The sequence below is a fragment of the Homo sapiens genome, chromosome 21 (assembly GCF_000001405.40).
Source record: "Homo sapiens chromosome 21, GRCh38.p14 Primary Assembly".
In the NCBI taxonomy this organism is placed as follows: Eukaryota; Metazoa; Chordata; class Mammalia; order Primates; family Hominidae; genus Homo; species Homo sapiens.
In genome coordinates, this window is record NC_000021.9 from 34,092,479 (window position 1) to 34,107,402 (window position 14,924).

The 14,924-nt window shown below is 38.0% G+C and overlaps 2 protein-coding genes across 2 annotated transcripts in view; both read left to right on the plus strand.

Annotated features, from left to right (window-relative positions):
* The window catches only part of SLC5A3 (solute carrier family 5 member 3), a 32,683-nt gene extending 18,901 nt beyond the window's left edge, over nucleotides 1-13,782 (plus strand). The window contains exon 2 of the mRNA NM_006933.7: nucleotides 2,385-13,782. Within this exon, the coding sequence (NP_008864.4) occupies nucleotides 2,721-4,877 (2,157 nt within the window). The 5' untranslated portion in view covers nucleotides 2,385-2,720 and the 3' untranslated portion in view covers nucleotides 4,878-13,782. The remainder of the gene's footprint in view (nucleotides 1-2,384) is intronic.
* MRPS6 (mitochondrial ribosomal protein S6) overlaps nucleotides 1-14,924 on the plus strand; it is a 69,453-nt gene that overhangs the window by 18,901 nt on the left and 35,628 nt on the right. The window lies entirely within an intron of this gene.

Sequence of the window (14,924 nt, forward strand, 5' to 3'; positions counted from 1 at the left end):
TGTTAGGGTACTATTTGGTACCTCTCCTGTGGGCAGAGCGACTTTACTAGAGAAGTTAGGAGTTAGGGCTAGCATGAGAACTTCATGCAGTTTGAGCATTCATCAGGCAGCAGAATATAGCTTCTATATTTACCTTGCATAAATCAGATTTGACAATGAAGAACAATGTTACTGATAGTAACAGTGCTTCCCAGTGATTGAGGAAGTGCTTGTTTTCTTTTTCAGCACTTTGTTCTCTGAACAAATAAGCTGCAGCAGCTACTATGACACATAACCCACCCTATTTCCCCCCCAACGGCCAGATGAAACCAGAAATACCCACTGTGTTTTTCTCTCCCTTCTTTGGAAAGCACGTGGTTGCTACTGCCATTGGGAAGAGTGATACCTGATTAGCCAGGTAGCCTTCTGAAAATTGAAACAAGTGGCCTGAGGATGACTTGGATGGCTGTTGGGTAGCAGAGAGCCCTGGAGGCAGGGTTTCATAACTGCGAACAGCAGTTTTCATTGTAATTGACACAGCAGTTTTCATTGTAATTGACAAGCTTCCCTTATGCAGAAACATTTAACGATACCTTTTTAAATAATGTTTACTAGTCATCTGATTAGATTTTATTAAAAATTTAGATGATTCGTCCTACATAATGTCAAAGCATTTGTTTAAAAACTTGGAAGCTTTTGGGGGTGGGGAAGGTGGTCATAGAAATATGATCATCTTCAGGATTTGGCAGGTATGAAGTGATACAAACCTCAACTTTTAAGATTTTTTTTTTTTTTTTTGCTTTTCTCTGGCAATCAATCTTATTTATGCCAGCCGTTGACACTTAGAAAGGATTTAAATCACTTTTCATAGCATAATTATTGTATTGCTTAATGCTTTAAAAAGGCACGCAGATGGGATTGAGACATTTCTATCCAGGCAGTTTTTTCTGCATTAGACCTAAGAACCTAATTTTGTAGGGCAGTAGTCTCTAGGCATTATGTTTAGCTCCTTTTGTCAGTGAGAAGTGTGTTGTAAAGTTTCTAATACTGTGGTCTGTTTTGAACGGTTTTGAGAAGAGGTAGCTTTAGTATAATTTATAGGACTTAAAAGGAAAATGCCTAGAATCATCAGAAAAAGCATGGAAAAACATTCTTCTCTGAGGTTGCCTTATTGGAAAAGGAGAAATCATTTAGAAGTTAATGTGTGGAAGGCATTAGGTTGAATAAAATTGTTGTTCGTATTGATCTGTCAGCTGCAATTACAATTAACTGAAAATTTAGTATTTGTCTCTTTTTCAGGAGAGAAGCCGTCAAATTTTAATACATTTAATTTTAGGTATATTTAAATGTCTGTTTTGCAGAGTGATTATCTTAATCCAGAACTGAAAAATTCCTGATGGTCCTACTGAAGATTTATCTAATGGTCCACAAATGTCTGTTTTGTTGAGGTTTGGCGGACATAATAATAAATCATTTTTTAGTCTTCTGAAAACTTTTCTCCTCCTCCCTCTTTTCTCTGCTTCTTATACCCTTCAACAAAAAGCATTAAAAGGAAAACATAAAATCACGCCTTTAGTCAGTGCCGTTATCCTCTCAGAGGTTGTTTTGGAAATACTGCCTGATGAAAAGGAAGAGAAGGAAATTGCTTCTTTTAAAGTTTGCTTTTTATCTTCTTGCAGCATCTTCTAACTGGCAGAAATAATACAATTTTTGAGTTGTTTTGTAAGTTGGATATTTTTAGTTTTGTGTGGAATGTCGTGTTTCCCATTAGGGCAGGGGGCGTCTCACAAGATCTAGGTTACTGTATGACAACTATATCCATTTACTGGAGTTTAAGAAGCTTTATAACAATACATTTCCAGAGACTAGGCAGTACTTGGTTTTCTGTATTTAAATTTTCTGAGGGTAGATGATAACATCTAGTAAACACCACCTGCCTGTTCCATCCAGGACCCTAACTGGCCATAAAGTTACCCCCAAACTCTCTTAGGATTCATAGTATTTTAAGATTTCATTTTTGTGCCCTTATTACGAATATAATTAGTGTTTTCTCCCCTTTAGGGTGCTTTAAGATCTTAGTGCCTGTCCTAATCTGAGCATACCACAGTAAGACAAGAAAGGGCAATGCTGTGGTAGGCAGTTAGCTGCTGAAGTTAGGCCACTTAGTTATGAGGTAGATGAATTTCTGTCCTCAGCTCAAAATGATAATATTCTCACTGACAAAAGTATCAGCTGTGATCATATAGATTGCTCTTTCCTGTGGAACTGAAGTGTATTAAAAAAATTTTTTTTCTTCCAATAAAGAATGTCTCGTTGCGCCGGGTTTGCTAGACTGAAAGTTTCCTCATCACGTGGCGAGACCTCCTCTACTTCAATCTTTGTCTTTTGTCTCTGCTGCCTTGCAGGGTTGGTACAGTAGGCTTCACTAGACTTAGCTGCAACTCAGAATTTCTCCTCCAGCACCTGAGTAAATGCTGATGGTCTTGTGGAGAGTGGATTAAGAGTACGAGCTAAGTTCTCAATCCCAATTAAGAAGCGGAAAATTTAAACTGTCTTCTTCAAAGTTTATCACAACCACCACCATCAAGACAGCAAACCAAAGGACAAAGACTTTGACCCTGCTGTGTTGCTCTGTGTAGTCCAGTTCACGTATGGTTTACAGACTTGGCTGGGGTTACTAAAAATAAATAAAAAGTTGGACACTTCTGTCATTGGAGCGCTATTATTCACAAGTTACCAGAATGAGAGCTGTACTGGACACAGCAGACATTGCCATAGTGGCCCTGTATTTTATCCTGGTCATGTGCATTGGTTTTTTTGCCATGTGGAAATCTAATAGAAGCACCGTGAGTGGATACTTCCTGGCGGGGCGCTCTATGACCTGGGTAGCAATTGGTGCCTCTCTGTTTGTGAGCAATATTGGGAGTGAGCACTTCATTGGGCTGGCAGGATCTGGAGCTGCAAGTGGATTTGCAGTGGGCGCATGGGAATTCAATGCCTTACTGCTTTTACAACTTCTGGGATGGGTTTTCATCCCAATTTACATCCGGTCAGGGGTATATACCATGCCTGAATACTTGTCCAAGCGATTTGGTGGCCATAGGATTCAGGTCTATTTTGCAGCCTTGTCTCTGATTCTCTATATTTTCACCAAGCTCTCGGTGGATCTGTATTCGGGTGCCCTTTTTATCCAGGAGTCTTTGGGTTGGAATCTTTATGTGTCTGTCATCCTGCTCATTGGCATGACTGCTTTGCTGACTGTCACCGGAGGCCTTGTTGCAGTGATCTACACAGACACTCTGCAGGCTCTGCTCATGATCATTGGGGCACTTACACTTATGATTATTAGCATAATGGAGATTGGCGGGTTTGAGGAAGTTAAGAGAAGGTACATGTTGGCCTCACCCGATGTCACTTCCATCTTATTGACATACAACCTTTCCAACACAAATTCTTGTAATGTCTCCCCTAAGAAAGAAGCCCTGAAAATGCTGCGGAATCCAACAGATGAAGATGTTCCTTGGCCTGGATTCATTCTTGGGCAGACCCCAGCTTCAGTATGGTACTGGTGTGCTGACCAAGTCATCGTGCAGAGGGTCCTTGCAGCCAAAAACATTGCTCATGCCAAAGGCTCTACTCTTATGGCTGGCTTCTTAAAGCTCCTGCCAATGTTTATCATAGTTGTCCCAGGAATGATTTCCAGGATACTGTTTACTGATGATATAGCTTGCATCAACCCAGAGCACTGCATGCTGGTGTGTGGAAGCAGAGCTGGTTGCTCCAATATTGCTTACCCACGCCTGGTGATGAAGCTGGTTCCTGTGGGCCTTCGGGGTTTAATGATGGCAGTGATGATTGCAGCTCTGATGAGTGACTTAGACTCTATCTTTAACAGTGCCAGTACCATATTCACCCTCGATGTGTACAAACTTATCCGCAAGAGCGCAAGCTCCCGGGAGTTAATGATTGTGGGGAGGATATTTGTGGCATTTATGGTGGTGATCAGCATAGCATGGGTGCCAATCATCGTGGAGATGCAAGGAGGCCAGATGTACCTTTACATTCAGGAGGTAGCAGATTACCTGACACCCCCAGTGGCAGCCTTGTTCCTGCTGGCAATTTTCTGGAAGCGCTGCAATGAACAAGGGGCTTTCTATGGTGGAATGGCTGGCTTTGTTCTTGGAGCAGTCCGTTTGATACTGGCCTTTGCCTACCGTGCCCCAGAATGTGACCAACCTGATAATAGGCCGGGCTTCATCAAAGACATCCATTATATGTATGTGGCCACAGGATTGTTTTGGGTCACGGGACTCATTACTGTAATTGTGAGCCTTCTCACACCACCTCCCACAAAGGAACAGATTCGAACCACCACCTTTTGGTCTAAGAAGAACCTGGTGGTGAAGGAGAACTGCTCCCCAAAAGAGGAACCATACAAAATGCAAGAAAAGAGCATTCTGAGATGCAGTGAGAATAATGAGACCATCAACCACATCATTCCCAACGGGAAATCTGAAGACAGCATTAAGGGCCTTCAGCCTGAAGATGTTAATCTGTTGGTAACCTGCAGAGAGGAGGGCAACCCAGTGGCATCCTTAGGTCATTCAGAGGCAGAAACACCAGTTGACGCTTACTCCAATGGGCAAGCAGCTCTCATGGGTGAGAAAGAGAGAAAGAAAGAAACGGATGATGGAGGTCGGTACTGGAAGTTCATAGACTGGTTTTGTGGCTTTAAAAGTAAGAGCCTCAGCAAGAGGAGTCTCAGAGACCTGATGGAAGAGGAGGCTGTTTGTTTACAGATGCTAGAAGAGACTCGGCAAGTTAAAGTAATACTAAATATTGGACTTTTTGCTGTGTGTTCACTTGGAATTTTCATGTTTGTTTATTTCTCCTTATGAACTTAAGGATATGGTGAGACACTAACTTAAGACAATACTGACTGGTCTTTGGGGAAAAAAGTTATGTAACTGTGCATCTCTCAGGCATTGTTTACGCTGTAGGTTTTAGCCAAATTTTACTTAGCAGAAAATCATCTAATTACAAGACTTTATTTTCCCAGAGATGGATTAAAGTAAATCTTCAACTTAAGTGAAGCCAAACCTAACAGACTGAATTGTGCAAATGTGGTTTTAAATTTTGCATACCAAAGTAAGAAGAGACCAATTATTCTCACAGAGCACTTAGAGCAGAATATATGTTAAGTTACCATGAATTAAGGTATACTGTCTGCACTGCCAAGTCTTGGCAGACCTTACCCTGAAGTAGAAGATTTGCTCATTTCTAAATTTTTTTTTCTGTCTCTGTAATCCCTCCTACCATTAAGAAAAACTTATTTCTTAGACATTGTACAATCAGTTATGTACTGAAAATCGAATGTGCTTGTGTGATACTTGTTTCAGGACAAGTTCATTTGCCAGGTTCATTTTGTTAGCATGAGCCTACGGATTCTGATTTCCCAAAGAAAGAATGTTTTCCTGTAGGTATTTTTGTACCACCAGTATATGGAATGTTAGGGAAAAACTTTGTTCCAGTTCCTTTTTTTTTTTCTTTCTACTTTCAAGTTTAAGTGAACCATACTGAAATGACCAACAAGTCTGCCTGTAAAGTTACATGTCATGATTGTGTTGTTAAATGATTATGGGGGAGAAAATGAAGTAAATGTTGCTGATGATCCCCATATTTATTGATCATATTAAGGTTGTTTATATAGTTTGGAAATGACCAGCCCCCTAAGCAGTGTTTGATTAACTTATGCTAATCAGATGATTACTCATATATTCTGCTAATTTTCTAGCTTTATTCTTGTTATTTGGAAAAATTATTAGCCAAATGCCTTCCTAGGTGGATCCAGTTGGAAGATATGTCCAGAAACCTGAAGAAAAATTGACGCTGCCTTTGTGTGCTGGATTGCTCTACTTGATTAGATCATGATATATCAAGGTTGAATTTTTAGAGGGAAAATTTAATTCTGATATCTTATTGCATCCTTGATAAGTTTTTCCCTGATTTTTTTTTTCCTCAAAAGACTTTCCATCTGTACACAGCCTCTACATTTTTGTTGTAGTGACTTAGAGCATAAGGATGTTTCAGTGCAAACTGGCCGTCGGTAACAGAAAACTCAGTGCATACTTTGCTGTTGTTAGGTTGTCAATATAGTCTTTCTGTAGGATGGATAGCATGTTTGAGAGGTGCCAAACAAGAACTTTTGGGGTTAGTAGTGTGTCTTGTGGAGGGTATTACAGGACTGTGTAATTATAGGACTCTAACTTGACATGGCTTGGCACCCACTTGCAGCTAGTGGGTACAGGGTACAAAAGATGTTAGAGAAAAGCTCTACAGATTACGTACTTCTGTGTCTTCGTATGCTCAACACTGTCCTTTGTCCTCCATGAAAGATGAAGGAAGCAAATTATGTATGTACTTTCTTTGACCTTCTTTAATCTCTGATACTTTTTAGATTGCATGATTTTACTAGGCTTGTATTTAGGGAAATTACTTTCATAAATACTTTTGTAGATTTTGAATCAAAACTCAGTCTTTTTAATTTTTTTGTAGTCTATAAACTAGTTTCATTATGATGGACTTGATTAGTCCAAAGTTAATTTTAGAAATTGTCAGGTAGCATAGTGTCTTCCCATGATCAGGAGGCTTTCTGAAGGACTGAGTCTGTAAATGAAAAAATAATTTATGTATGAATAGCATGTATTTCTGAAGAGCTTAGAGTGCCTTGTAGAATTTTTTTCTCAATTTTATTCTTGAGGTTTATAATTTGGGGGCCAAATAGATAGAGCTCATCATTTTCTTGTTTGGAAGTTGAGGCTGCGACATGTCCAAGGTTATGAAGTCTCTTTTGGGAAGAACAGAAACCAGGTCTCCAAATCTGGACTCATGGTTTGTTCAGATGTGTCTGGACAAATGGTTGTCAATGTTTTGTCCTGTTTTTTCAAAGGAACTGTTCTTCCTTTGGGACAACCTTTTGGTGTTTGGGAAAGTAATAAGATCTTGGATTTTTCAAATTAACATTAAGTTGTAAGAACTAAAATTTTCTTTGAACCACATTACTGTGTAATTCACTGATAATTGACATATTGGCTGGGCAGCCTATCTCTTCCATATCCAGCGTAAATGAATAGGAGGTGTTTGTGATTTTTTTTTTCTCCCTTTATTTAACATTGAGTCCTAGTAGTTTGGAGAATTAGGGTCCCTCTACCTTCTTTCTGCTCTTGTCTTAGTAAGATACATAAGGTACATCATCTTGTGTCTGTGTGTATATAGCAGTAGGTCAAGTTTAGAGTACTAAAGTCTGTAAATAAGGAATGACTATTAGCATATTCATTAGAATTGTTTATTCTTGCCAGTATAAACATCATTTTATTTAGACTAAAGTCCCTGAAGCTTGTCTTTCTTATTGCTTCCCAGTAATAGATAATGTGCTCGAGTAAGTTTGTGAATTGCTGATTGCAACTTAATTCAGGGACCAGTCTTCAATCTATATTTCATTAGAATGATTGTTCCTGGAATGATCATACATGGACTGTCTTAAGCTAGCAAAATGTTCATACTTTACACTGACTAAATGGGTCCTAAATGATGACATTGGTCTTTAGACATTAACATGTGTATATTTTTATATTAGCTCAAGCTAAGGTTCAGAATTGAAGCTTGATATTGACTAGAATAGCTAAAAGTCAAAATGAGGTGAGGACACTGGTCTTGGAAGGTAGAGAAAAATAAATGTCTTACCAGGTGTTAATGGTATCCCCAGTTCTTAGACTTTTGTCTTCTCAGGCAATTTTCATCTCAAGATCTGATGAGAAGGGCATATTACATTGGTATGCAGGATGATTATTGCATATTTTGTGGGACCTCTAATTTCCCTGGTCATCTTTCAGAATATTCTGTTCTGCCACCCCCAGAGAGTAAACACTTGAGCCGATTTCTTCTTCCCCAGCTATTCTTTCCTGGGGGTAATTATGCTTTGTCTTTAGATTAGAGAAGCATCAAGCAATAGCAATGGTGCTGTGTCCTTCGGCCTAAATTCAATAGATCTCATCTCCTAGGGCTTCCTTTTCACTTGGCTCAAAGGATCCATTGTATTTTGGCACAAAGAGCCTGGCCAGGGTCATGTAGCCATAGCTCTTAGGGATGATACCTCAAGAAATTAGCTGGGACCCATCACTCTGTGAAACTTCACATTTTAAGAACTGAGTTGAGGGGGTTGTTATGCACTTCTGTAACTTGAGGCTAAGCAAGGGGTTAACTCTTGTGAGAGCCAATAGAGTGTGTCTGTATTCGCAGTCCATGGCTCATTTTCTTTATAGTAGGCATATGGATCTTCCCCTCTGACTTTGAATATCATTTGGTGTGGCCTGTGGGTTATTTTCATTCTTTACCACCAAATAAAGCGGCTTATTAGCTACTCAGTTACTTGCTACTCAAAGGTTAGGTCTTCCCTGTTCCTGCTTGGCAGTGTTAAAGCTTACAGGGTTAACTTATGATGATTCTCCTGGCTCATTTTCATCAGAGGCATGATGACTGGAAAGGGATCACATGGGTCGTTGGTGGTGACACCTCACTGTTTCCTAGGTTTGGATAGAGAGATGTATACAAGACCTTTCCTGTTAAATTACGTGACTACAGAGACTTGCCAGGACAAAATTTTCCTAAGAAATCAGAAAAATGATTAAGTGAGATAAGTACCTGGGTGACACAGATATTAGCCCGTTGGTAAAAGACAACAAATATTAGCTTAAAATCTGCATATGTAGAATCATTTTCATTAGATTTAGAGCTTGAAGCACCTTGGCTCTCAGCTACTTTAAACTCCTCCCCATATAAATCAGGGCACCAATAAATAAGTTTCAGCTTTTTAAACCCTGGTTTGATGTTAAGCATTATAAAGTACGAAGTTTGTTACCACAGTAGAGATAATTTAGTAGAAAAATGCTTTGAGGCTTCAGTATTTGTAAGATTTTGCATTAGCCAGATGCTAGGTTGTTGAAGGCATTTCAGTGTTGATAATAGCCTGAGCAGACTTCTTTACAAATGGGATCTGTTTCTATATGTGTATATGCCCACTTACCATTCAGAGAGACTGGTCTTTCTCTTTGTCTTCCTTCACATTGCTGTGTCAGTTCTACACCTAGTCTTTTCAGCACTTAGCAAATTCAAATTTTGATTTTTTTGTCAGCTTAGTTCACTTTAAGGCATATTGGCATGGTGTGTGAAAGTGATGTTTTGCCCCAGTATTGAGGACTTTTAGATCCAAATAATGACTCATTAAATATAATTATGTTTTAAGTATACTGAATTTCTGTTAGCTTAAAATGTTAATTCTCAGGAATGATTTTCTCACACTTTGTGTTGGCTAATAATAAAAGCACTGTTTTATTCTCAAAACTCCTTTTTCAAAAATTAGGGAGAGAGCAGTAGTGATCATTTATGTGAGCCCCTTTGAAATGATGGTGTCAGAGTGCAGAGAAACAATGGAGTTTTGATGCCAAAAAGGTTTTTTTGCAGTAAAAGTAAAAATTTGGAATTAGTTGGCATATAGAGGAACCCTTTTGTACTGGAACGTATGAGGCTGGATTGTGAAAAGGTAATCTTTCGATTGCTAGACTTGGTTAACTTAGGGCTGCAAATCTTTTTCTTCTGTCAAGGTCACTTAATATGGAATGTTTTTGTCAGACTGTCCTTTGTTGGAATACTTTAGCTGTTCAGCTACTTTGACTCCTAGGAGAGAATTTAGTTAAGGTTCAAAGTAATTAACTGGCTTTGCCAGTGGTGAGTCCCACACCATTATTCACTTAGTAGTCATATAAATGTTTTTATTTAAACTTCTCTCTCTTCAATGCTGAGAATAAGGCTTTAAATTACTGATTCACCTTTAAAGGAATGTTGTGAGAATTGATGTAATTTCTGTTTCTGTTTCCATCTAAACTTCTTTATAAAAAGAGGGATTAGTTTTTTTGTTTTGGGGTAAGCACCTAATTTATCCAGTAACCAACAACCCTAACCATTGGCATATATAGTCTTTCACTCAGAAATAAACAAAAACTGTTTGGTATATCTGTATCATTGCTAATCTTGTGCACTTTACTTTTTGGGCAGTACCATACATAGTCTGAGGCTATTGACTTAAACCAATAACTGTACTTTATGTAATGACTCTTAAATTTGGTTACCTGGGTTCACAGCTTGCTTGAAGAGAAAGGATGCTAGAATAAAGTAAGCAGCTGAAGAGCGAGCAAATCAAGACAAAACACAGTGGTCTCAGATTTTTCGTAGTGTGGGAACAGTGGTTTTGCTCTATACCACTGAAAAGCACTATAACATAATTGTTGTCCATGATACTGAAGCTTTTCCCCTCACTTCTAGGTTGTTTACATTCAGAGCTCTATCAATAAGAGGAATACATATTACAGTGAATTCGACAACCGCACAAGTTGGCAGTAGGTATCCCCAACCTAATTTATCTTGGTAAATTCACCCTGTTTCCTAGTGCTGCTGGATAAAAGAGTGTTTACTTTTTATTGCTCTTAGACAGAGTAGTCTAGATAAGTTTTCAATTTATCAACATAGCCTAGACTTCTGTAAGTGGAATGTTCATTAGTAACTCATCTTTTTGTTGTTATAATTGGAAACAGAAACGAGGCTTATTGCTATTGCAGAAATCCCAAACTGGCAAAGGCCAGTATATATGGTATTCCATAATATAACCAGCTTTTGAAATTTATGTGTTTGGATTAGTGCCTTCTGGTTACCAGTATTGACTCTGCTAGTTTGCACCTTTCCGTTCTTAACAGAAAATTTGTATTTGTTATTCCTCTTAAATTTTGTCGTAACTAGTGAAGGAAGTAAAAAAAAAAAAAAAACATGCATTACATTGACATACTTTATGTGCAGCCTTTATTTAGGTTCAGTGAAACCAGGTAGTTCTGTATTTGTGTTGTAGCCTAAATGTTGTTTCTTTTATATCCATTAAAAACTTAAAGTTACTTATGTTCTGTGATCTTAATTTTGTTGTGTTTCCATTGTAGGTTGATAGGTATATCGAGAACAGGTACGTGACAACAGTTTATATTCCATGATAGAAAGCTAAAGTCCATAGAAAGCACAAAATCGTGTTCACACATTAGTGTACCCACACATAGAAAGCACAAGACTAATAGTATTCTCTGTATCCCACAAGTGCCAGTCATAAAGGCCACCAGGTATTTGTCTCAGAGTTGCTATGAGCACTACAGTATTGATAAGCCCAAGACAATGCGGTATCTAAACTGGTCCTAATGGTAAGGGACCCAAAGGAATAATCTCAATAAGTTTGTACCACATTGATGGAGGGAGAGAATATAAATGTCAAGAATGCCAAAATTATATTTGGGGGTTACTAGCTAAAATGGGGTTTGAGGGCTTTTTACTGCAACTTGAAACTGGAGAAATAGGGACAGATGTCTAGGTTTTTGGTGGGTGGAACAGGTGACATATTTCTGTTTTAAGCTGTAGTGTGATTGGGGTTTTTTGTAAAAAATCTTAAATCTTTTAGGAAATATTACCTCTTAACAGTGCCCCCCCAAACATGCAGAAAGTCATACTTTAACAGGGCAAATACTACTTGTCTTTGATTTTTTTTGTGTACGTTTGTATGTGAGAGATGAAGTTACCTTTATTTTTTTCCTATACTTGACTGTGCTTCATTTTAATAAAGGATAATTTGATCTGAGTGTTCTGAGCATCAGACTAATTCTGAAGCATATTTGCTAGAGGAGCTACTTTGCTTTTCACAATGGGGTGGAGAGGATTCTTTCACTTGTCCCATTAACCCTCTTCTAGTCTAGATGAGATGAAATCTGTTAATGTGTGTGTAGAAGAAAACGTATGTTCTTCTACTCAGCATTGCCCTTTTCCACCTCCTCACTTCACCTCCGAGTAGCTTGTTTATCAAGAATGAATGAATGTCTTTGTCTTAAATTTTGCCCATGTGTTAAAAGATGTAATTCTCAGAATGGGAGAGAAATGACTACCTTTGTTCCTACTCTTTTATATAATTATCCTTTTAGGGAAAGACTTGGTCAACTCTAATATATCTAGAAGGAAGACTATATCTGGTGTAGACTAATATGAGATGTTTTAGAAGAGTTAACCTGAACACTTTGAGGGAGAGATTATTCTTGCCAGCAAAAAGCTAGCCAGGAATGAGCCTACCACATTATTTGAGAATATCAAACCTCAGGCCTGGGGGGATGAGGGGAAGAAGATTACCAGAAGTGCAGGAAAGAGAAGTTTGAGGAACACCCTTGGCTTAGCAACATGTGATAATGCAAAGCTGTTATAACCTGTTAATCCTACGTACTATGTGTTCTGTACCTTTACATGTTTTTAAATTTAAGATAGTTTGTAAGAACTGTACAAAAAAATGCTTCTGGAGATTTCTTTGGCAGAAATGCCTTTCATCTATAATTTCATGGAGAACTGCTTTAATTAGCCTAGGTGAAAAGTAGTCCTAGCAGTGTAAATATGTATAATTAGAGTTTTCTAATTTCACTGTGAGATCTCTAACTTTTGAGTGGCAAACAGATCAAGTCTTTTGCTCATAGACTTTTCTGTGGGGTTATTAAAATGCAAAAGCTTTATTTTTTTTAATAATGCCATACTCCATTAGTGTCAGATGATGGTATGGAATTTGTTCCCTTGCTTTCCCCCACTGTTACTGCTTCAGTTTATAGATTGCCAGCAGAGTTCAGAAATAGAGCAGGGATTTACCCGTTCTTTGCTTGGACATCCCATTTTCTTTTGTCCAGACCCATGTTGGCAATCATGTATGAACTGTGTTATACTTCTCAGTGCTTTCTTTTTTCTTTTTGATAAGATGGATATCAAAAATAGTTGCTGTGCAAAAGTTAGTAGTCTTCTTCAAGAAGAAAACCAATTCTTTTTCTAATAATATCCTGTGAAATTGCTTCATTCATTCATTTATTTTTAAGCCAAATGTCAGCAGAGTGCTGCTGCTTTTATCTAGTAATTTTGATATGTAAGTATTAATGCATTTTTAAAAGATGTCTACATTGAAACATGTTCTTCCCAGTGTCCTGCTTATGATGCTTTGTTCAGATTTTTTGTAAGAGACCAGTTAGTACACTGGGGGTGTATATTGTGTACATGTGTCATTTTAGTTAGGCATTGTAGGCCAAATGTGATTATAAATGAAGTTGATGAACATTAATTTTGTTATTAGTGAGTTTTTTGAATTGTAAATGGATTTCCAGTTTACCTTCTGTTGTCTACAGCTTTTTTAATTTTAAGGTTTGACTAATTGTATCCATCTCATTGTACAGTGTTTTAGTTGCAAGCAGAAAGTAGAATTTGGTATAAAGCAGGTTATTTCTATATTGAAAGGAGTACAGTTGAAATTGTAGATTTAAGATTGTTAAAATCATGACAATTCTAACTTGTCTATTCTAACCTATTGTGTACAATCTGATTTTTTAAAATTGTAAACATGTATGATCTTGGTTTCATGTGTTTTTGAAAGTGTTATTGTTTAAAAAATGAAAAAAGCATATCTGCTAAAGAGCTGTCAGTTTTCATTACTGACTCTGTAAAATACACTGTTCTTTGTGTACTGTGTGTTATTTTGCCAGCTGCTGCATTAGCCTTCAAAAGTATTTGGAAACTTAAGATGAACTACATTTCTTGCAAAGTACATTCCTTTCTGTGGTATTTTGTCCTGTAACTGAAGTATAGTAATTATTTTATGGAAATGTTAGCAATTCTGTACCAACTTTGAATAAAATGAAAAATTTATATTTCTGTGACTAAGTATTTTCAGTATGAACACTGCCACAATGTAGTGTTCTGGGTCTCAGAGTTGAAGAAGAGTTTGTACCTCAGTTTCTTTTGCCCTTGGCCCATGAATGGTTTCCAGTGAATTTCCCCCTACTAATTTTTGTCATTTTTAATCTTTGTAAACACTGACTCACAGGTATTGACTGAGAATAGGATTATGTGTAAAACATAGAGTAAATTAAAATATTCTTAATTTTTTCACTTCCAATTTTGAAATTTCAAGTTATAGGAAAGTTGTTAAGAATGGAATGAGGAATTTAGGACTTGACTTCATCCAGGCTCACCAGGGATTAACATACTGCCTGCCACATTGGCTTTGCCATTCTTCTGAAGCATAAATATTTTTTCTGAACCATTTGAGATACTATTTGCAGACATTGTTCCCCTTTACTCCCTGAGTACTTTGCGTGTATATTTCTTAAGAACAGTCACTCATAGTTATCAAACTGGACAGAGAAACAGTGATTTTGAATCAAAAGACTATTCAGATATTCCTGGGTCCAGTAATGTCTTTATAGCAGCTTTTCCTCCCCTTTCAGAAGCCAGTTCATTGCATTTAGCTTTTATGTCTTTTGCCCCCTTTAATCTGGACTACTTCTTGGATTTTGTCTTTCACGGTATTGACTTTTTTTTTTTGGCGGTGGAGGGGAAATGTGACTTGCTCTGTCGCCCAGGCTGGAATGCAGTGGTGCGATCTTGGCTCACTGCAGCCTCTGTCTCCTGAGTTCAAGCAATTCTCGTGCCTCAACCTCTTGGGTAACTGGGATTACAGGCATGCGCCACCACACCTGGCTAATTTTTGTACTTTTAGTAGAGATATGGTTTTGCCATGTTGGCCAGGCTGGTCTTGAGCTCCTGACCTCAGGTGATCCACCTGCCTCAGCTTCCCAAAGTGCTGGGATTACAGGCGTGAGCCACTGTGCCCAGCCGGTATTGACATTTTTAAAGTAATACAGGCCAATCATTTTGTGACTGTCCCTTTTTAGTTTGGGTTTGTCTGTTCCCTCATGATTAGATTCACACTATGCATTTTTGGCAGAAATACAAAAGTGATGCTACATCCCTAAAGCCTCACATTAGGAGGCATTGGATGTGTTGTC